General features: G+C 45.9%; 1 protein-coding gene across 7 annotated transcripts in view; it reads left to right on the forward strand.

Annotated features, from left to right (window-relative positions):
• The window catches only part of PIGL (phosphatidylinositol glycan anchor biosynthesis class L), a 109,202-nt gene extending 93,502 nt beyond the window's left edge, over positions 1-15,700 (forward strand). For 3 of the 7 annotated variants that reach the window (XM_047437097.1, XM_047437100.1, XM_047437099.1), the window contains 3 exons: positions 2,836-2,903; positions 5,970-6,001; positions 6,084-7,171. In XM_047437097.1, coding sequence (XP_047293053.1) covers positions 2,836-2,903; positions 5,970-6,001; positions 6,084-6,373 — 390 coding nt within the window. In that variant the 3' untranslated portion in view covers positions 6,374-7,171. Of the gene's footprint in view, positions 1-2,835; positions 2,904-3,200; positions 3,462-5,969; positions 6,002-6,083; positions 7,198-15,088 lie in introns of those variants that run through there. The other 4 variants (XR_007065545.1, NM_004278.4, NM_001411072.1 and 1 more) reach the window with 4 other exon arrangements.

Raw genomic sequence — 24,275 nt, forward strand, 5'->3', positions numbered from 1 at the left:
TTTTTAGTAGAGAGGGTTTCGCCATGTTGGCCAGGCTGGTCTTGAACTCCTGACCTCAAGTGATCTGCCCGCCTCAGTCTCCCAAAGGTCTTTTACACAGTGCTTCTTCCTGCAGCGTAGCACGCCTTCTCACATAGAGGATGCTTGTAAAGAGCGTGGACTGTGGAGTCAGAAAGATCTAAACCCCAAGAACAGCTCCACCACTCAGTGGCAAGGTGATCACAGCTTCGGCCTCTGCTTCCTGAACTTCCTCAGGTGTAAGATAGGGTTAATACTATGTCTTTGCTCAATAAATGTTAGCCACTCTTATTATAACAGAGGGCTTGCTGTACATGCAGTCATTATGCTTTACAGTTTAAAATAGAAAGACCAAGAGCGAATCCCTTCCCAGCCCATTCCAATCCCAGTTCCAGGTTCCTTCATCCATGCAGGATGGTCACCTTTCCTTGGGGACAGCTTGCCTCTTTTCATCACCCCTAATCAATCATTCTATCCTTTCTTCAGTCCTTGTTGTCGTTTTTATATTTCTTTTATTATTTGAGTTAGCCTTATTATTATTATTATTCAAATTATTATTTGTTTTTTCTTTTTTTTAGCAATTATTATTATCATTTATCTCAGAAAATCTCTATGACAATTGTGTGAAGTACAATTATGATTACATATGAGATAATTGCACCACAGACATGTTATATAACTTGCAAAAAGCCACAAACCCAATAAGTGGTAAAGCCCAAAGCACAGAGGTTTTCTTTCTTTTTTTTTTTTTTGATCATTCTTGGGTGTTTCTCGAAGAGGGGGATTTGGCAGGGTCATAGGACAATAGTGGAGGGAAGGTCAGCAGATAAACAAGTGAACAAAGGTCTCTGGTTTTCCTAGGCAGAGGACCCTGCGGCCTTCCGCAGTGTTTGTGTCCCTGGGTACTTGAGATTAGGGAGTGGTGATGACTCTTAACGAGCATGCTGCCTTCAAGCATCTGTTTAACAAAGCACATCTTGCACCGCCCTTAATCCATTTAACCCTGAGTGGACACAGCACATGTTTCAGAGAGCACAGGGTTGGGGGTAAGGTCAGAGATCAACAGCATCGCAAGGCAGAAGAATTTTTCTTAGTACAGAACAAAATGAAGTCTCCCAGGTCTACCTCCTTCTACACAGACACAGCAACAATCTGATTTCTCTATCTTTTCCCCACCTTTCCCCCTTTTCTATTCCACAAAACCGCCATCGTCATCATGGCCCGTTCTCAATGAGCTGTTGGGTACACCTCCCAGACGGGGTGGTGGCCGGGCAGAGGGGCTCCTCACTTCCCAGACGGGGTGGCCGGGCAGAGGCGCCCCCAACCTCCCGGACGGGGTGGCTGGCCGGGTGGGGGCTGCCCCCCCACCTCCCTCCCGGAGGGGGCGGCTGGCCGGGCGGGGGCTGCCCGCAGCCCCCCACCTCCCTCCCGGACGGGGCGGCTGCTGGGCGGAGACGCTCCTCACTTCCCAGATGGGGCGGCTGCCGGGCGGAGGGGCTCCTCACTTCTCAGACGGGGAGGCCGGGCAGAGACGCTCCTCACCTCCCAGACGGGGGTCGCGGCCGGGCAGAGGCGCTCCTCACATCCCAGATGGGGCGGCAGGGCAGAGGCGCTCCCCACATCTCAGACGATGGGCAGCCGGGTGGAGGCGCTCCTCACTTCCTAGACGGGATGGCGGCCGGGAAGAGGCGCTCCTCACTTCCCAGACTGGGCGGCCGGGCAGAGGGGCTCCTCACATCCCAGACGATGGGTGGCCAGGCAGAGACGCTCCTCACTTCCCAGACGGGGTGGCGGCCGGGCAGAGGCTGCAATCTCGGCACTTTGGGAGGCCAAGGCAGGCGGCTGGGAGGTGGAGGTTGTAGCTAGCCGAGATCACGCCACTGCACTCCAGCCTGGGCAACATTGAGCACTGAGTGAACGAGACTCCGTCTGCAATCCCGGCACCTTGGGAGGCCAAGGCTGGCAGATCACTTGCGGTTAGGAGCTGGAGACCAGCCCGGCCAACACAGCGAAACCCCGTCTCCACCAAAAAAATACGAAAACCAGTCAGGCGTGGCGGCGCGCGCCTGCAATCGCAGGCACTCGGCAGGCTGAGGTAGGAGAATCAGGCAGGGAGGTTGCAGTAAGCCGAGATGGCAGCAGTACAGTCCAGCTTCGGCTCAGCATCAGAAGGAGACCTTGGAAAGAGGGGAGGGGGAAGGGGGGGGGAGAGGGAGAGGGAGAGGGAGCTATTTGTTTTTTCTTTAATTCATTTGTGTAGAAATGAAATGTTGGAATACAGACTGAGCTTGTAGTTAATAAACAGATATTGATATAGCTGTGAAAATGGAAACAGAGGCAATCTATGAATAAATACACTTTTTCCATGAACTCAACCCCAGGACACGGTGGACATTGTCCTTCAAAGCTTTTTTTGCCCTCAGTATGGCATGAGAAAAAGAGAACCAGTAATTCAGGCTGTATCTGCATAAACAGAGTTCACTTAGAAGCTAGCCAGGAATTCTAAATGTGCTAATAAATGGCTAAACCAATAAGCAACAAAGATATTCTGAACCCAAGTTACTATCATGGCTGAATTCCACTCTGCTCCACTGGCTAGGAACAAGAGTAAAACATCAAACCCTGGAAAACAGTCTCTATGTGGTCAACCACAGCACTAGCTACACACCACTGATCTGCTCAGAAGTCACTTCAGATAGATGCTGCATTTGAAAAGTTTCAGGGTTCTGTTCTCTCCTTCCCAAGGGAAGGAGACAGCTCCATTGAAGTTGAGGTGGTGGAGAAGGCATTCAGTGAAAACCCTGTGTTTCTCTACAGGTGGTGACTTTCGATGCAGGGGGAGTAAGTGGCCACAGCAATCACATTGCTCTGTATGCAGCTGTGAGGTATGATTCTCCGGGTGATGGATGTGGGGGAGGGTTTGTTTATTTGATTAGGGCTCATGGTTTAAAGTCTAAAGCACTTTCCCACTTGTTATCTGAGCCCATGAAACTCACTGCTGGCTTATCTTCTAGCCCTTTTTGGCCATGTTGCTCACTGCATCTCACCATGTCCTCTCGCTGAGAAATCTCTCTCAAGTCCTAGTACGAATGCTCGTCTCCTAAACAGCTGAATTCTTTTTTATACACTGAATACTGCGAATGGGGTAATTGACTTTATTCATCTCTTTTCTGTGGCCACAGGAAGCTTGAGGGCCAAATTTGCAAGCCCTGTGGCACTGGACAAGACTTTAAGGAATGAGTGCTGTCAATCAGTGTGCCTCCACCTTCACCATCTTCTTCCCCTTACTCTCACTTCCGTCATGTGTTTTATACAACTCTCAAATCTTTCTTGGAGAAGGAGGATATACATACATAATATGAAATGTGTTTGTTCTTCACAGTCACCCGATTTTACTGATATTTATTTGCATTTTACCAATAAAAAGAAAATGCAAGCTCAAAGGTATTGAGTGACATAGAGTCATACAAACATAGATGTGTTTCCTGTCCCCTAGCAAAGTGCTTCTCCTGGGCCCCTGATCAGTGGTGTGGCAGGCCTGTCCCAGCTACTGAGGAAGGAAAGAAGCAACTTGAAGGGAAGGACTTATTTAATAACCTTCTTCTAAACATGCTTAACACTCAGACTGAAGCAATGCAATATGTAAAGTTGGAAATGACCTCACCAACCATTAAGTCCAATCACTGGGAAGTGGTTTGCCCAGCACCACAAGGTTAAACTATGGCAGAGGCAGAATTCAGGAATCCTAGTTCTCCATTCATTATTCTGTCAGATGTATGTGAAGACCAATCCAAACTGAAGACCCTCCTTGTCCTTAAATTTTACATCACTTGGTGGAAGATGCTAGAATTTTACCCACATACTCTTTCTAGGCAGATTTCCCTGTTTCCTTGACTATGGAATGAGGGGAGGCTAGACTGTTCTCCCTGTAAAGACTATTCGGTTCCTGGTCCAGCCAGCAGCCACAGCTTTAGAAGAGACATGCTCCTAGTCGCATTAGGTCCCTTCAAATTCAGGAAAGAAACATTCCCTGGTTACAGTCTGAAATACAAATTTTTTTGATGATATATGGAAAAATGAGGCAGCCCCAGAGTGGTCTTTCCAACCACATGGTTACTCTGAGGCCTTGAGCTTCCAAGACTAGCATGGACAGCAAGCCCCATGGAGAACTGGAAAAATGGTCCCACCTCATTCTGGATGCACACTGAGCCTGGTGATTTCTCTCCGAGAATTTACACTGCACCAGAGAAAGGATCAGGTCAGGTCTATTGCAAACAAAGAGTACCTCAACAGGCAGGGGGCTGGGGCACTTGAGATTGAGTCACCTGGTCCCATTCCTGGTCCAGTCACCACTGAAGTGGAGAAAATAGAGAAGGCGTCATTCTGGGCAGAGAAAGAACCCAAGGGGACAACTCTGTGTAGATAGAACTGCCTGGGGCCATTTTCCTCAGAAGAGGCTGGAGTGCCACAGGCTCTCAGCACGAAGGAGGGCCACTGTGCTTCAGATAAAACAATTCATGGACATGCCACCAATCTGCCACAACCTTTTTCCCCACAGTCATCTCTTGCCTGCTAAATTCGTTAGACTCACGTTAGTCCTCAGCCACCTTGAACCTTCTGTGGCATCTGGCCCTGCCTGTCCCTCACTGCAATGCTGCTTTGACTTATATGGCACCAGCTTGCCCTCCTCACTCTGGCCTTTCTGGCTACTTCTCATTCTCTTCCCGGCTTCCCTCCCACCAGTGGCCCCTTGGTCCCCCTGTCCCCAGGGCTCACTCCCCAGTCCTCCTCAGCACAGCTTCTCCTGTGGCTTTAAGGGCTATAAGCTCTACTTCCAGACAGCGCCTCTAGCTCACTGCTTTCCCTGGACATCAGAATATCCACAGGGCTTTGCCCAGAGTACAGGACAAGCCACTTCATTCTCAGGATCCCAGAAAGTTTTTTCAGTCTTTTCTTTTCTTTCTTTCTTTCTTTCTTTCTTTTTTTTTTTTTTTTTTTTTTTTTGAGACAGAGTCTCGCTCTGTCACCCAGGCTGGTGTGCAGTGGCGTGATCTCAGCTCACTGCAGCCTCCGCCTCCTGCCTCAGCCTCCTGAGTAGCTGGGAACTACTGGTGCATGCCACCACGCCCGGTTAATTTTTGTATTTTTATTAGAGACGGAGTTTCACCATATTGGCCAGGCTGGTGCCGAACTCCTGACCTCGTGATCCGCTTGCCTCGGCCTCCCAAAGTGCTGGGTTTACAGGCGTGAGCCACCGCGCCCGGCTCCTTTTTCAGGTTTTTCTACCTCTCAGGCTCTGCCAGGCAGTCAGTTCCATGAATTTGTCAATTGTCTCTCAACTTCTCTTGTTTAACCCCTGCTCCCAAGAGTCTCTGTTCATATGTGTGTCTGTGTGTTGCTGGGGCTACCTTCCCAATCCTTCTCTGCCCCCAGCTTTCTAAACAACAAAGTGGGGAAGAGACTTGGAGCTCATTGCAGTTGACACTCCCCTCCTCTTAAGGTGGCGAGCACAGAATGACCTGCACTGTCAGAAGGTAGGCGTAGGGAAGCTCAGAAAGGAGAAAGGAAATATCAGGGAAGAGCTATCAGTTAGCATTGTAAAATATTCCCCCATCATACTCACATTACACTTCCAAGAGAAAAACTATGAAGAGTCCAGCACAGTTACCTTCATTCTCTAATGGGCAAAGCTTGGACCAGAGTACTTCACAAACCACAGACCAGCCTCTGGATTGGCTGTCCCTAGCTCAGGTGCCCATCCTGGTCCCTTCAGCTGTTGCCAGAGGTATGGGATCCTGGAAATCTATACAGTGATTTATGCAAAAGAAACCACCTGGAGACTCACATGGAGGGGACCATGGGCATGGCAGCCTTTCCTCTGAAGGCCCCTCCTGTTACCTACAAAGGAAATGATCCTTACTCCTCTCACTCTTGTCCTATCCCTCCTCCAGGGCCCTGCACTCAGAAGGGAAGTTACCTAAAGGTAAGGCTTGTTCCTTTTGCAAAGGGCCACAAGATACTGTCCCTCTGAGAAACTTATGAGGGGGAAATTTGCAAATCCACAGAGAGCTGCCCTCAGCCGAGCAGAGGCAGTGGTTGGGGAGGCCGCCACACTCTTCCTGACTCACCTCAAGGTACCTGGCAGGTTGTATCTACCAGCAAGTGCCTGCCTGCAGGGCCACCTCTGGATGAGTGGGGAGGCCAGGTTTGCCCCTCAACCTGTCTAGCTTTTTCACAGGGTGGATGTTTTACACCTCTGGTATTCTTCCAGTCTGAACTCAATCCCATCCCCCAACCAATTAGGCAGGTTGTAAATGACTGCTGGGTGCTTGATGAACCAATCTGCCTGAGTTAGGAACTCTTCCTAACCCACATAAAGTATTTGACCCTACCTGACCATTTACTGCATGACCCCCATGCTTAGCCTCTCTGGACCAGTTTCTGGTCTGTCATACCTCACCGGCGCAATACGAAGATTCAATGAATGAAAACGTAAGTAGTTTGTGCCCTTTCTATGTGGGATGACTGAAAGGAGCTTACCAAGCCATGATGACTTTGGAACATGACTATAGTTTGTTTGATTCTTATATCAATCCTGTGAGACAGGCAGGTCTCACACTATCAACACCAATTTACAGATTAGAAAACTGAGACTGAGAGTGGTTAAGGGACTTTGCCAAGTCTGTCAATTCTTGACTGACAGAGCTGGAACCAGGTCTCTAAACTCCCAATACAGTAATTCCTGTCTCCTTTACTTCCTTTGGCTTTGAGGTAGCCAGATCTCAACCTCTAGCAGCCAACCTTTTTCTGGTAGGGCACACCGCAGGGTAGAGGGTAGCCAGCCAGGTCTTCTATGGCCCTTTTACTCGTTCTAGCTGCAAGAATCATGGGCACAGGGCAGCTTTAGTGCCACAGAAACACGTGGCAATGCTGTGGCCACTGTCCTGCCCTGCCCTGAGCCACAGGGTAGAGGGAGGATGCTCAGGGGAAAATCTGGCTGGAGGCCTCAAGGCTTATCACTTCACCCTGTCTCCTCTCCATCCAGGGTGCTCTGTGCTCACGCTTCAGTCTGTGAATGTGCTGCGCAAGTACATCTCCCTTCTGGATCTGCCCTTGTCTCTGCTTCATACGCAGGATGTCCTCTTCGTGCTCAACAGCAAAGAAGTGGCACAGGCCAAGGTGAGGATTGTAAATTCCTGGACACCCCAACTCAGATCCCTGCCCCAGACCCCTGTCTCCTCAAAGCCCCACCTCTGCAGAAGCCCTAACTGAAGGTTTTTCACAGTGGTTCAGCACCTGTCCCTGAGAATTAGGGCTAGGCCAGCTAGATCTTGGGAGGCATAGATTTTTCAATGACTTTAGCCTTTTTTTTCTAATTATAAAAATAATATATGCTTTTTCTAAAAGTAAATAACACATGCTCATTGCAGAAAATCTTGAAAAACATAAAAGCATCAAAAAGAAAATAAAAATAAGAACAATTACCTGCAGTCCCACCAATCACAGGTAATCCTTGTTAACATGTTGGGCTACATCTTTCTACTCTTTTTTTTTTTTTGAGACGGAGTTTTGCTCTTGTCACCCAAGCTGGAGTGCAGTGGTGCAATCTCGGCTCACTGCAACCTCCGCCTCCTGGGTTCAAGTGATTCTCCTGCCTCAGCCTCCTGAGTAGCTGGGATTACAGGCACCGCCACCACACCCGGCTAATTTTTTGTATTTTTAGTAGAGCTGGGGTTTCATCATGTTGGCCAGGCTTGTCTCGACCTCCTGACCTCGGGTGATCCACCCACCTCGACCTCCCAAAGTGCAGGGATTACAGACATGATCCACTGTGCCCAGCCCTACTCTTTATATATATATAATGTGTATGTGTATACACATTTCAAATGGGATCACACAGTGCCTATTTAAAACCAGCTTTGGCCAGGTGTGGTGGCTCATGCCTGTAATCATAGCACTTTGGGAGGCTGAGGCGGGCAGATCACGAGGTCAGGGGTTCAAGACCAGCCTGGCCAACATGTTGAAACCCCGTCTCTACTAAAGCTACAAAAATTAGCCAGGCGTGGTGGCATGCACCTGTAGTTCCAGCTACTTGGGAGGCTGAGGCAGAAGAATCGCATGAACCCGGGAGGTGGAGGTTGTGGTGAGCTGAGATCATGCCACTGTACTCCAGCCTGGGTGACAGAGAGGATTCTGTCTCAAAAAAAAAACAACAAAAAACCTGCTTTAACAATACGTTATGGGCTGGGCACAGTGGCTCATGCCTGTAATCCCAGTACTTTGGGAGGCCGGGGTGGGTGGACTGCTTGCTGGGCAACAGAGCAAAATCCCATCTCTACAGAAAAATTAGCCAGGCATGGTGGCACATGCCAGTGGTCCCAGCTACTCGGGTAGCTGAGGCAGGAGGATCACTTGAGCCCAGGAGGTCAAGGTTGCAATGAACCCTGATCATACCACTGCACTCCAGCCTGGGCAACAGAGCCAGACCCTAGCCAAAAAAAAAAAAAAAAAAAAAATCAAAACTATTTATTATGAACATTTTCTCCTATTTCATTTAGTATTCAAATACCAATGGCTGCCAATTACGCCACTGTATGTATATACCATAAGATATATCACGAATCCCTTACTGTTAGACATTTTGATTTGCCACTTTATCACTGTTATACATGGAGCGATGCTCCCAGCTTGAGTTTAAGAAGAATTCAGACCTGCCAGGAGCCTCTGTAAAGAGCCTAGGGGAGGCCAGACGCCGTGGCTCACGCCTGTAATCCTAACACTTTGGGAGGCCGAGACAGGCAGATTGTCTGAGCTCAGGAGTTTGAGACCAGCCAGGGCAACACGGCGAAACCCCGTCTCTACTAAAATACAAAAAAGTAGCCGGGCGTGGTGGTGGGCACCTGTAGTCCCAGCTACTCGGGAGGCTGAGGCAGGAGAATTGCTTGAACCCGGGAGGCGGAGGTTGCAGTGATCCAAGATCGCACCACTGCACTCCAGCCTGGGTGACAGAGCGAGACTCCGTCTCCAAAAAAAAAAAAAAAAGAGCCCAGGGCAGACTGCAAGAAGCCCACATGCAGGGTGAGGAAGAGCTAGGCCAGCTCAGGTCATCCTAGGGAAAACTCTTAGCTGTCCATGGAACAGGTGACTGAGTGCCATCAGAGTTAGGGAGAGGGTGGGCTGAGGAGAATTATTCCTCAGTTTGTCTCCAGGTGCATCCCCCTGTAGACTTAAGCCCCCCACAGAGAGATGGGTAGCATAACAAGTGAAAGAACCAAGTCGGGGATTGTGGCTCGTGCCTGTAGTCTCAGCTGCTTGGGAGGTTGGGGTGGGAGGATGGCTTGAGCCCAGGAGTTTGTGTCTGCCCTGGGCAACACAGCTTTATTAGGAAAAAGGGAAGGGGAAGGGGAAAGGGAAGGGAGAGAGAGGAAGGAAGGGAGAAAGAGACAGAGAGAAGGAGAGAGTGAGAGAAAGAAAAGGAAGGAAGGAAGGAAGGAAGGAAGGAAGGAAGGAAGGAAGGAAGGAAAGGAGGGAGGAAGGGGAGGAGAGGGGAGGGGAGGGAGGGAGGAAGGGGAAGGGAAGGGAAGGAAGGAAGGGAAGCGAAGGAAGGAAGGGAAGGGAAGGAAGAAGGAAGGAAGAGAGAGAGGAAAGAAGGAAGAAAGAAAGAGAGGGGAGGGAGAGAAAAGGAGAGAGGAAGGAAGGGAGGGAGGGAAGGAAAGAAGGAAGGGAGGGAAGGAGGGAAGGAAGGGAGGAAACGAGGGAGGGAGGGAAAGCGGGAGAGAGAGAGAGAGAAAGAAAAGAAAAGAAGAAGGAAGGAAGGAAGGAAGAAAGGAAGGAAGGAAGGAAAATCTAAGAGAATAGAAACTCAGGATAATGATTTTGGTTTTGGGGTTTTTTTGTTTAGCTTTATTTTCTAAATTTTCTTTGAGATGAAGTCTTCCTCTGTCACCCAGGCTGGAGTGCAGTGGCACAATCTCGGCTCATTGCAACCTCCACCTCCCAGGTTCAAGCAATTCTTCTGTCTCAGCCTCTCCAGTAACTGGGACTACAGGTTCACGCCACCAGGCCCAGCTAATTTTTGTATTTTTAATAGAGATGGGATTTCACCATATTGGTCAGGCTGGTCTCGAACTCCTGACCGCAGGTGATCTACCCACCTCGGCCTCCCAAAGTGCTGGGATTACAGGCATGAGCCACTGTGCCTGGCCATTTTTTTTTTTTTTTTTTTTGAGACAGAGTCTTGCTCTGTCACCCAGGCTGGGGTGCAATGGCACGATCTCAGCTCACAACAACCTCTGCCTCCCAGGTTCAAGCAATTCTCCTGCCTCAGCCTCTCAAGTAACTGGGACTACAGGCGCATGCCACCACGCCTAGCTAATTTTTGTATTTTTAGTAGAGGCAGGGTTTCACCATGTTGGCCAGGTTGGTCTTGAACTCCTGACCTCAAATGATCCGCTCCCCTCTGCTTCCCAAAGTGCTGGGATTACAGGCATGAACCACTGCGCCGGGCCTTTTTTTTTTTTTTTTTTTTTAGATGTAGTTTCGCTCTTGTTGCCCAGGCTGGAGTGCAACGGTGCGATCTCAGATCACTGCACCCTCCACCTCCTGGGTTCAAGTGATTTTTCTGCATCACACTCCCGAGTAGCTGGGATTACAGGCATGGGCCACCATGCCCAGCTAATTTTGTATTTTTAGTAGACACGGGGTTTCGCCATGTTGGTCAGGCTGATCTTGAATTCCTGACCTCAGGTGATCCACCCGCCTTGGCCTTCCATAGTGCTGGGATCACAGGCGTGAGCCACCATGCCCGGCCCATATTTTCTAAATTTTCTACAGTAAACCTTTGTACCTAATAAGAGGCACTTTGCTAGGTACTGAGAGTGCAGTGTTGAGCACATATTAATTATCTTGTTTCTTCAATAGTGCATTCGTTTTTGTATTTTATTATTTCTGTCCTACTTCATTTATGGTTTTATTCTTTTCCTTCCTTCCTTCCTTCCTCCCTCCCTCCCTCTTTCTGTCTGTCTGTCTGTCTTTCTTTCTTTCTTTTTACTGTTATTTTATGGTTTTTTTTTGAGACGGAGTTTCGCTCTTATTGCCCAGGCTGGAGTACAATGGTGCAATCTCGGCTCACCTCAACCTTCGCCTCCCGGGTTTAAGCGATTCTCCTGCCTCAGCGTCCCAAGTAGCTGGGATCACAGGCACACGCCACCACGCCTGGCTAATTTTGTATTTTTAGTACAGACAGGGTTTCCCCATGTTGGTCAGGCTGGTCTCGAACTCCCGACCTCAGGTGATCGCCCACCTCAGCCTCCCAAAGTGCTGGGATTACAGGTGTGAGCCATCGCACCCAGCCTATTTATTTATTATTTATTTTTATTTTTTGAGACAGAGTCTTGCTCTGTCACCCAGGCTGGAGTGCAGTGGAGCGATCTCGGCTCACCACAACCTCCACCTCCTGGGTTCAAGCAATTCTCCTGTCTCAGTCTCCTGAGTAGCTGGGACTATAGGGGCCCGCCACTTCGCCCGGCTAATTTTTGTATTTTTAGTAGAGACTGGGTTTCGCCATGTTTGGCCAGGCCAGTCTCGAACTTCTGGCCTCAAGTGATCCACCCGGCTTGGCCTCCCAAAGTGCTGGGATTACAGGCGGGAGTCACCGCACCCAGCCTGTTCTTCTTTAAATCTCTTTAACTTGAAAGGTTAGCTTTGTTTTCATTTTCAATCTTTAAAAAAAAAATACTTTAATACTATTAATTTTCCTTGAAGTGTTTCTTTAGCTACACATGATAAGTTTTGATATGTAGTTCTCCTATTGTCATTTAATTATAAGTAATTTATAGACTCCATTGTGAGTTCCCCTTTAATCTTTGAGGGTATAATTTACAGTTACAAACATGTGTCGATCTTCATTATTTGTAGTTCTATATTTATGAATGCACCTACTCACTAAAATTCATTTGTAACTCCAAAGTCAGTGCTCGAAGTGCTTTTGTAGTCATTCGTGGACACTCGCAGAGGGGTGAAACATGAGTCACTGGATGCACATATGCATGTTCCCAGCTGTTTCAGCTCTCCTACTGTAAAAAAATACCTTTTTGTGTATATTTAATGCCCCATTTTTCTCATTTTTGTGGTTTTTGTTGATTTTGCTGTTTAAAATAGCCTCTAAGGATGATGCTGAGTGCTGTCTTGCATTCCTAAGCACAAGAGGCTGTAATGTGCCTTATGTGGGTTTGATCACAAGCATGAGTTACAGTGCCATTGGCCATGAGTTCAGTGCTAATGAATCAACAACATGTATTTCATATGGAGTTTTTAAACAGAAATATACACAAAACAAGGTTATATATTGACTGATTGATGAAAATATTGTGGCCAAAGGCTTGGAGGAACCCAACCCTGTATTTCCACTAGAAACAATGGTTCAGTATTCACTAATTCAGTGTTTTCAGTGACTTTGTAGAACTACCACAAATGAGAATGGCATGGCTGTGTGTGTATATGTGGTCTTTTTTTTTTTTTCTGAGACAGAGTTTCACTCTTGGTGCCCATGCTGGAGTGCAATGGTGCGATCTTGGCTCACTGCAACCTCCACCTCCCAGGTTCAAACGATTCTCCTGCCTCAGCCTCCCAGGTAGCTGGGATTACAGGCAGGTGCCACCACGCCTGGCTAATTTTGTATTTTTTAGTAGAGACGAAGTTTCACCATGTTGGTCAGGCTGGTCTCGAACTCCTGACCTCAGGTGATCCTCCCACCTCAACCTCCCAAAGTGGTGAGATTACGGGTGTGGGCCACTGTGCCCTGCCGTGTATGGGGCCTTTTTATTGTTAATTTATAATTTAATTACTTTGTGGTCAGTGAATGGTTTTCGTAACACTGATCTTTTTTTTTTTTTTTTTTTTTGAGACAGAGTCTCGCTCTGTTGCCCAGGCTGGAGTGTAGTGGTAAGATCTCAGCTCACTGAAACCTCTGCCTCCTGGGTTCAAGTGATTCTCCTGCCTCAGCCTCCTGCGTAGCTGGGATTACAGACAGGCCGGCACCACCAAGCCTGGCTAATTGTTTTGTATTTTCAGTAGAGATGGGGTTTCACTATGTTGGCCAGGCTGGTCTTGAACTCCTGACCTGGTGATCTGCACAACTCAGCCTCCCAAAGTGATAGGATTACAAACATGAGACACCGTGCCCTGCCCAAAGCTGATATATTTGTTAGCAGATTATTTCTCTTATTTATTTATTTATTTATTTTGAGACAGAGTTTTGCTCTTGTTGCCCAGGCTGGAGTGCGATGATGCGATCTTGGCTCACTGCAACCTCTGCCTCCTGGGTTCAAGCGAGTCCCCTGCCTCAGCCTCCTGAGTAGCTGGGGTTACAGGCGTGCACCACCATGCCCAGCTAATTTTGGATTTTTTTTTTTTTTAGTAGAGATAGGGTTTCACCATGTTGGTCAGGCTGGTCTCAAACTCCTGACCTCAAGTGATCCACCTGCCTCGGGCTCCCAAGGTGCTGAGGTTACAGGCATGAGCCATTGCGCCTAGCCAATTCGTCTTATTATCTTATAATGTCTCTCTTTTGTAATGGTTTTCCCTTTATCTTCTATTTTATATTTATTTATTTATTTTTTTGAGACGGAGTCTCGCTCTGTCACCAGGCTGGAGTGCAGTGGCGATCTCGGTTCACTGCAATCTCCGCTAATTGCAATCTCCTCTAATTGCAATCTCCGCCTCCTGGGTTCAAGCAATTCTCCTGCCTCAGCTTCCCGAGTAGCTGGGATTACAGGTATGCGCCACCACGCCGGCTAATTTTGTATTTTTAGTAGAGACAGAGTTTCTCCATGTTGGTCAGGCTGGTCTCGAACTCCCGACTTCAGGTGATCCACCCACCTCAGCCTCCCAAAGTGCTGGGATTACAGGCGTGAGCCTCCATACCTGGCAAGTCATGTAGGGTCTGACAATGAATATAAAAGGGGTTATTTACATAAAAGTTTGTGAAGATATTAGCTTAGAGAGGCAAGTTAATTATGGTACTTAGAGATAAACAGGCACATCCTTTTATGTATATCTAGTGAAGTCAGTTGCTGTAATCTATTCTGTTTAAAAACTGAACTATACTAGGTCTGAATAACAAGATAATGTACATTTCCCCTAGAAGATAGGAACGACAACTCACACCTGTGTGCCATTCCTTTTTTTCTTCTTCTGATAGTGATTGGACCTCCCCAAACGACCTAACTCAGAGGAATTTGGGCATAGTGTACTAGCTTTCTTCCCATGAAACATCCCTGTTTGTGTTGTATATTTGAGGTAGTAGCAACGTGATTAAGAATGTGGACTCTAACTGGCCAGGCGCGGTGGCTCACGCCTGTAATCCCAGCACTTTGGGAGGCCGAGGTGGGCAGATCACTAGGTCAGGAGATCGAGACTATCCTGGCTAACACAGTGAAACCCTGCCTCTACTAAATATACAAAAAATTAGCCAGGCATGGTGGCAGGTGCCTGTAGTCCCAGCTACTCGGAAGGCTGAAGCAGGAGAATGGCGTGAACCCAGGAGGCAGAGCTTGCAGTGAGCCAAGATCGCGCCACTGCACTCCAGCCTGGGCAACAGGCTCAAAAAAAAAAAAAAAAAAAAAAAAGAATGTGGACTCTAGAATCAATCAGTTGGCTCTGGGTTAAAATCTCAGCCAGCTCTACTACCTACTAGCTGTTTGAGACTGACGAGTTTCCTCATCTATTTATTTTTTAAAAAACAGTAATAACAGTACTTGATTCACAGGGTTGTTAACATTGAGATGATGCATGTGGACTGTTCTGCCAGTTTTCTGGTATCCCATGGTGAGTGCTGTAGCTACGGTGAGCATTGTGTGTTATAATCACAGGTAGTAGGAGATGGGAAAGCAGGGGCCATGACAGGAGGCCAATCCAGAGAGGTTCGTGGGTTACAGGAAGAAGACAGATAAGGCTATAGCATGAAGCATATTAGTTCGAGGAAGGATTTAAGGTGCGGAGGCCAGATCTGAAAGTAATGAAACAACTCCAGTGCAACTGTTTCATAACTGGTTCTCTTTGATTCTTCTAGAAAGCCATGTCCTGCCACCGCAGCCAGCTCCTCTGGTTCCGCCGCCTCTACATTATCTTCTCCCGGTACATGAGAATCAACTCACTGAGCTTCCTCTGAAGCCTTGAAGGGTTTTCAGATCCAAGGAACAAAGGGGAAAATAGACAAAGGAGTGCAGAGGACCTGGCCTGGCACTGGCTTATTTACCTGAGCTCAAGGAGATCCCCGCTGGAGCAGCCTCTGCAAAAGGGAGCCCATGTAGGCCAGGGGCTGTCCAAACTCCAGCTTCTTCCCCTGGGAAAAAACCCAAAGAACCAAAAACAAACCACCCCAAGGATAATAATAGCTACACTGCTAGCTTCTCAAGTTCTTGTGAAAAACAATTTACATAATGACACAGTAGATGTGGAACACCTAGCCCAGTGCCTGGGCAGGTCCCTATTATCATAAATGAACATAAAAGTGCTCTAAAAACACTCCACAGATGTGACTTTTACATTGTTTCCAAAGCAGGTTCACCAAAAACACATACACAAAATGCAACAGTGTGTGTTGAATTGGTTCAATCATAATTCCTTTGATTTTTCTTGTATCAGAATGTGGGTCTAGGAAAAACTTGCTCTATTTAACAGGACAGCTCTGATTGAAGCATCCAAGTACAGGTCACTGGGGTGGGCACTGTTTTATACAGAGACGATTACAAGAACTCTGCCTCAAAGAGCTTACAATCAAATATGTCAGCTCTCAGTCTTTTTGGAGAAGTAGGAAGTAGGAAGATAAATCTGAGACTTAAAAAAACACAAAACATTCAAGAACCTGATGTCTTAAAATTGTCCTACGAACAAAAGCTCTCTGAAAGCTCTGGCTTGGAAACTACTCTCAGAATCCAGCTAACGCTCCAGGGAAGTGGCCTGAGTCAGGGAAGCTAAGTGGTGAAGAGCACAGGCTGGTAGTCCTGCGATTGAAGCCAGAATGACCAGCTGTGTAACCAAAGGCAAGGTGCTGAACCTTTCTCTGCCTCAATTCTCTCATCTGCAAAATGGGAAATAATAATGATCCCAACCTCAGAGAACTGAACAAGATAATACATGAAGGTGCATATCAAAGAGTCTCACATGCTCTGCTGGGTAAGTATGCCCTCCACCCGCCACAGGAAACACTGAATTGCTTCTCCATAGCTGCAGGTTAGAGACCTGCTTGTTCAGACACTCCACCTCAACTTGCCCTCCTTTGCTTAGTGTCACCATTATCTTGAATGCCTCCTAGGGGCCACATAAGACTAATAGAGCTATTAGGCTCTGAAGCCGGAATCAAAAATGCAAATCTGGTTATGTGATTTGTCTACTTAAACTTTGTCAATAGCTCCTAATAGCCTTCATGTGAAAATGTGACCAGAAGCACGTTACTAACACTGGCTAGAGTGCAGTAGGAGAGTGTGGTAGGACAGGCTGACCCCTGCCCTGTTACTAGGAAGACAGACACTCACCCAGCCTTTCTGAACAGCAACTCTGCTAAGAGCTTTTAAAATATGCATATTCTATGACCTAAGGAATACTTAGAAAATCAAAATTATATACACACTGGCTGGGCGCAGTGGTTCACATCTGTAATCCCAGCACTTTGGGAGGTCAAGGAGGGTGGATCACTTGAGGCCAGGAGTTCGAGACAAGCCTGGCCAATGTGGCAAAACCCCGTGTCTACTAAAAATACAAAAATTAGCCAGGCATGGTGCCGCAGGCCTGTGGTCCCAGCTACTCGGAAGGCTGAGGCACAAGGATTGCTTGAACCCAGAAGGCGGAGGCTGCAGTGAGCTGAGATCGCGCCACTGCACTCCAGCCTGGGCGACAGAGCCCTGTCTCCAAAAAAACAACAACAATTATACACACAAAGATTATCATTGTATTATTTATAATAGCAAAACTGGAAAAATCCAGTGATGCAGTTGTGTTTTGTAACAAGGAAGAACGTTCACACTATTAAATTTTTAAAAGCGGGTTAGGAATAGCACAATCCCATTTTTGTTGAATAAATATATACACAAGTATATAAATAAATACATATATATCAAAAGATATATATCCAAAAGATAAATACTAGCTGGCAAGGTAATCTTTCAACAATGAACATTTATAATTGTAAAGGACTTTGTTGTTGTTGTTTATGGATCATTTGGATGTGAGAATTTTGATATCATGTGAAGTTTTTTAAAAAGTGTGTTTATAGGCCCGGCCGCGGTGGCTCACGCCTGTAATCCCAGCACTTTGGGAGGCTGAGGCGGGCAGATCACAAGTCAAGAGATCGAGACCATCCTGGCCAACATGGTGAAACCTCGTGTCTACTAAAAATACAAAAATTAGCTGGGCATGGGGGCGGGCACCTGTAGTCCCAGCTACTCAGGCGGCTGAGGTAGGCAAATTGCTTGAACCTGGGAGGCGGAGATTGCAGTGAGCCGAGATTGCGCCACAGCACTCCAGCCTGACAACAGAGCGAGACTCCATCTAAAAAAAAAAGTGTGTATAGGCCAGGTGCAGTGGCTCACACCTGTAATCCCAGCACTTCGGGAGGCTGATGCAGGAGGATTACTTGAGCTCAGGAGTTTGAAACCAGCCTGAGCAACATAGTAAGACCCCATCTTTTCAAAATATTTTAAAATTACCCAGGCTTGGTGGGGTGTATGTATAGTCCCAGCTACTCAGGAGGCTGAAGTGAGAAGATCACTTGTGCCCAGGAGGTCGAGGCTGCAGTGAGCCATGATCATACCACTGCACTCCAGCCTAGGCCACAGAATGAGACTGCCTCAAAAAAAAAAAAAAAAAAAAAAATATATATATATATATATATATATATATATATATTAATCTTAGAGGTTAGAAAGATGAACAAAATTATCAATATTTGTTTCTGGATGGTGAGACTTAAAACATTTCCTGCCTCTTTTGTTTTACTGTACATTCCAACTTTTTTGAAATAATTAAGTAGAAGTCGGCCAGTGCGGTGGCTCACGCCTATAATCCCAGCTACTTGGGAGGCTGAGGCACAATTGCTTGAACCCGGGAGGCGGAGGTTGCAGTGAGTCGAGATCACACCACTGCACTCCAGCCTTGGCGATAGAGGGAGACTCCATCTCAAAAAAATAAAATAAAATAAAAATAAATAAGATTTAAAAAATAAAAAAAAGAGGGTTGCTGCATCTGAGACTGCAGGTTCTACTCTGGGTTCTGGAAAGAGGACAGACCAGAACTAGGCTCTCCTTGGTACCAGCAGAGAGCCAAGGGACTGCAGCACAGGAGGGAAGGAAGCCCCTGGAGGCCAGTTAGGGCAGCCACTAGCAGTGCCTTCATGAGAAAAGTACCCTCCAGATTCAATGCAGCCCTGGGGACACTTGTCCTGGCAAGAAAAGAGTGTCCTCGTGCAAATTATCAACAAGTAGTCTTTCCTGCCTGCAAACACACTCCCTCCCCAGGGACAGCCACAAACAGCCTTGTAGAAGGAGCAGAGACTTAAGCATCCACTTAGCCAGATGCTCTTGTTTGGTTAACAACCTGCAAAACTAGGCAGCAGTAGCCCCAAAGCCTGGAGCAAAAATCAGAATTTCATGGTTCCTTGAAGGAACACCAAAAAAAAAAAAAAAAGAAGAAGAGAGAGAATCCTCTCCTCCAACTGCCCAAATAGAAAGGATCTCAGTGAATTAAGAATCCTCTGGGAGGGGCAGCAATCCCACTTGCTCAGAGACCTGGAGAGTGACCAGGCTGGGGTGGGTGTGCTGAAGTCAGGAGAGGGTCACCCCTTGTCAGAGAGACCTGCAAACAATCCCCCACCCACCCCATCCTCGGCAAGGGCTGATGGTTTGCCAGTTCTCACCTCGGTCCAGAGAGCAGAAACTGCCAACTTCAACCACTCCCCGCTTGGCTACTACTCAGCAGCCCTGACTCATTAAGAAAACACAAAAATCGAGAGCAACCAGACACAATACAAAAGGGGAACCCTCACCTGAGGAGGCTCAGAAGGAGGGGAATAGGGCAGATCTCACTGAAGTAGCAATTAAATGGAAGAGACTTTATCAGAAACAGTAGTGAAAGCCCGGGCACTGACCCAGACAAAAAAGCACACTTCTCCGTGGTGACCAAATTAGTAATGTGGAATATCAAGTAGAAGATATATTGCAGAACAAAGAGGTTAAAAAGCCAAGAAATGGAAATAAGGGTGGGAAAGAGATTTGAAAACACATTAAGGAGAGCCAACGTGAATAATGGAAGTTCCAGAAGGAGCAAAAGCAGGAAGGTAATAAAGGAGAACTTCCGTAATCTGAAGGAGACTGAGTACACTGAAAGAGCCCGCCAAATCCTAGGCAGCTTTGATTTTTAAAACAGATGCACAAATATGCTGCGAAATTCCTAAATTCCCAGTGAGAAGGGGGAGATTAAAGTATTCAAAAAGTCTCCTCTTGGGGCCAGCCACCGTGGCTCACACCTGTAATCCCAGCACTTTGGGAGGCTGAGACTGGCGGATCACTTGAGGTCAGGAGTTCGAGACCAGCCTGGCCAACGTGGCGAAACCCTGTCTCTACTAAAAATACAAAAATTAGCCAGGCGTGGTGGCGCATGCCTGTAATCCCAGCTACTTGTGAGGCTGAGGCAGCAGAATCACTTGAACCCAGGAGGCAGAAGTTGCAGTGAGCCAAGATTGTGTCATTGCACTCCAGTCTGGGCTACAGAGTGAGACTCTGTTTCAAAAAAAAAAAAAAAAACCAGGCCGGGCGTGGTGGCTCATGCCTGTAATCCCAGCACTTTGGGAGGCCGAGGCGGGTGGATCATGAAGTGAAGAGATCAAGACCATCCTGGCCAACATGGTGAAACCCCGTCTCTACTAAAAATACAAAAATTAGCTGGGCATGGTGGTGCGCGCCTGTACTCCCAGCTACTCGGGAGGCTGAGGCATGAGAATCGCTTGAACCCAGGAGACAGAGGTTGCAGTGAGCCGAGATTGTGCCACTGCACTCCAGCCTGGCAACAGAGCGAGACTTCATCAAAAAAAAAAAAAAAAAAGGTGTCCTTTGCGGCCAAGGGGAAGCTGGGCTGGGGGTAAAGCTGCATGGTGCAGGGTGACAAATAGACAACTGATGGGCTGCAGTCTGGATTGTGAGGAACTGAAAGGTATACAGTTCCAGAGCTGAAACTAAAAAGCATGGGATCTCAATTAACAAAGAGGAAAGCAGGAAATGAAGAAAAACTTAAAAGACTGCAAAAGTAAGAAAAAAGGAAAATAGTATAAAATGTAATAAATATAATAGAAGTAATACAAAAAGAATAAAATCAGAGCTACTTCAAAAAATATGAACAGGCTGAATTTCCAGACCAAAACAGACTGTGAAATCAATGTGTTAGAAAACAAAATCTAGCTACATCTAAAAGTAACAAAGGCTAAAAATAAAAGGATGAACCATATACCATGTAGCAGGAGAACAAAAAGAAGGAAGAGCAACACCAGAAATCCAGGCCAAACCCAATATGACACCAAGAAGCATTAAATTGGACAAAGATGGGTATGTTAACAGGTTCACTCCATGAGATGACAGGCACCCAACATCACAGTAGCCAGATACATAAAACAAAACCTCCCAGACATACAAGACCTTTATTAAAAGACAAAAACAAACAAGACACCACGATAATAGTAGGAGGCCTCAGTATTCTTCCAGAATTTTGAAAAATTGAGTTGGCAAAAAATAACATCAAATATTGGAATAAAGCAAACATTCACTTATGTGATAGAATGTTTACAAAAGTTGACTGTTTATTGGCCACTGATAAATCCATTTATTTATTTATTTATTTGAGACCAGGTCTTGTTCTGTCACCCAGGCTTGGAATGCAGTGGTGTGATAACAGCTCACCGCAGCCTCAAATTCCTGGGCTCAAGGAACCCTCTGCTTCAGCCTCCCAAGTAGCTGGGACTACAGGCATGTGCCACCACCCCCGGTTTTTTGTGGGTTTTGTTTGTTTGTTTGTTTGAAATGGAGTCTCACTCTGTTGCACAGGCTGGAGTGCAGTGGTATGATCTTGACTCACTGTCCGCCTTCCGGGTTCAAGCGATTCTCCTGCCTCAGCCTCCCGAGTAGCTGGGATTACAGATGTGCGCCACCACGCCCAGCTAATTTTTGTATTTTCAGTAGAGACAGGATTTTAGCATGTTGGCCAGGCTGGTCTCAAACTCCTGTCCTCAGGTGATCTGCCTGCCTCGGCCTCCGAAAGTGCTGGGATTACAGGCGTAAGCCACCACATCCTGCCGTTCTTTTTGTTGTTGTTTGTTTGTTTGTTTGTTTTAATGAGACGAGGTGTCGCTATGTTGACCACTTTGGCCTCCCAAAACGTTGGGACTGCAGGCATAAGCCACTGCACCCAGCAGAGAAATCCCTAATAAATTCCCTACTGTAGAGATTTAATAGGCCACATTCTTGGATCATAATTAAATAACATGCAAGTAAATAATAAAATTACTAAAGAGGGGGATAAACAACACAACTCAGAAATCAAGAAGCCCCTTCCTAAATAACCCCTAGATCAAAGAGGAAATCAAAATTGGTATTATGAATTATCTAGAAAGTAATACAAATTAACACTTGATGTGGGATCTGTATTTAGGTAATTTGTAGTCTTAAATGCTTAATTTTTTAAAAGATTGAAAATAAGTGAACTACATGATTCAATTTGAGAAAATCAAAAATAGAAACCAATAGCAAGAGGGACTTAATAGAGATATAAGATTAGATTAAATAAGTGAAACCAAAAAATAGTGGAAAGAATAAGTTTTCTTTGAAAAATGAAATAAGCCAATATACTGCAAGTCTAATTCAGGAAAAAAGAAAACAAAAGTGCAGTTATTGGGAACAGATGGATATATAACCACAAAAGTGAAAAAGGCTGAAAAAAATTATAAAATATTATATGGCTTGAGGTCAGGAGTTCGAGACCAGCCTAGGCAATATAGTGAACTAAAAATACAAAAATTGCCCAGGGAGGTTGAGGTGAGAGGATGGCTTGAGCCTGGGAGGCAGAGGTTGCATTTTGCCATTGCACTCCAGCCTGGGTGACAGAACCAGACCCTGTCTCAAAAAAATAATAAAAAATAAGTGTTGGTGAGGATGTAAAGAAATTGGAACCCTCATACATTGTTGGTGGGAATGTAAATGATGCAGCTGCTATGGAAAACAGTTTGATGTTTTCTTAGTAATTTTAACAAGGATTTACCACATGACCCAGCAGCTCCACTCCTAGGTACATTTCCCATAGAATGGACAACATTCAGACAAAACCTTGTAAATGAGTATTCATAGCAATATTATTCATAATAGCCTCAAAGTAGAAACAACTCAAATGTCTATCAACTGGTGAATAAACAAAATGCGGCATTTTATTATTCAGCCATAAAAAGGAACAAAGTCCTGGCCGGGCACAGTGGCTCATGCCTGTAATTCCAACACCTTGGGAGGCCAACGCGGGCGGATCACAAGATCAGGAGTTCAAGACCAGCCTGGCCAATATGGTGAAACCCCCTCTCTACTAAAAATAGAAAAAAATTAGCTGGGCGTGGTGGCACATGCCTGTAATCCCAGCTACTTGGGAGGTTGAGGCAGGAGAATTGCTTGAACCTGGGAGGCGGAGGTTGCAGTTAACTGAGATTGCACCATTGTACTCCAGCCTGGGCAACAGAGTGAGACTCAGTCACAAAAAAAAAAAAAAAAAAAAAAAAGGAACAAAGTATTGATGCATGCTACAAGGCAAATGAACTTCAACAGCATTATGCTAAGTGAGAGAAGCCAGACACAAAAGGTCACCTATGTAGGATTCCACTTCCGTGAAACATTTAAAATAGGCACATTTTGAGATGGAAAGCAGATTAGTAGTTGCCAGAGGCTAGAGGAAGTGGGGAGTGGGCAGTGGCTGCTAATGGTACAGGGTTTCTTTCTTTTTTAAAAACAATTTTATATATTAAAAATATTTTAACATAGGGTCCTGCCTTGTCACCCAGGCTGGAGTATGGTGGTGTGATCATAGTTCACTGTAACCTAGAACTCCTAGGCTCAAATGATCCTCCTGTCTCAGCCTCCCAAGTAGCCAGGACTACAGGGGTGTGCCATCACACCTGGCTAATTTTGTTTTTTAAGAGACTGGGTTTCACTATGTTGGTCATGAACTCAAAAACACTGAATACTAAAGTATACTAACACTGAATTGTACACGTTAAAGGGTTGAATTTTATGTTATTCAAACTGTATCTCAATTCAAAAATTCACGTGAAAATAAGATTGCATTAAAATATTCTAGTTCACTATAAAAGATATACACAAGCTAAATTTGATGATCACGCCGGGTGCGGTGGCTCACGCCTGTAATCCCAGCACTTTGGGAGGCTGAGGCAGGCGTATTACGAGGTCAGGAGATCGAGACCGTCCTGGCTAACACGGTGAAACCCCGCCTCTACTAAAAATACAAAAAATTAGCCGGGGGTGGTTGCAGACGCCTGTAGTCCCAGCTACTCGGGAGGCTGAGTCAGGAGAATGGCGTGAACCCGGGAGGCGGAGCTTGCAGTGAGCCGAGATTGCCACTGCACTCCAGCCTGGGAGACAGAGCGAGACTCCGTCTCAAAAAAAAAAAAAAAAAAATCTGATGATCGCTTTCTGCACCTAGTGATACTCACCTAACACACTAGCCCATTAAACACAAATACTACAGAATACAACATTTGTTGTTATTTTGAACAACTTTTAGTGCTTCCTGTTTTTCTTTTAACAGTTTTTAAAAGATAAAACGAATTAATGCAGAACATAAAACAAGAATTGAATAAATGGAGAGTTGTGCCATGTTCCTTGATAGAGATTTAAAAATCCTCATACAGTTCATATATAAATTTAATACTACCTATAGCATCTATAAATTCCAATATAGAAATTTAAATATTTACATATGTATTTATATATGTATATTTATTCACATTCTTACAATGTTAATATATAAATTTAATGTAATTCTAGTCAGAATATCAATGGATTATCTTTGGGATTTGAATTAAATTATTTTAAAAATATATTAGAAAAGAAAATGTCCAAGTATCGCCAAAATATAAACATCAAAAAGGATAGTGACGTGAGGCCTGCCTTTCTATATATTAAAACTTAGGCCAGGTGTGGTGGCTCACGCCTGTAATCCTA

The sequence above is a fragment of the Homo sapiens genome, chromosome 17 (genome assembly GCF_000001405.40).
Source record: "Homo sapiens chromosome 17, GRCh38.p14 Primary Assembly".
Taxonomy (NCBI): Eukaryota; Metazoa; Chordata; class Mammalia; order Primates; family Hominidae; genus Homo; species Homo sapiens.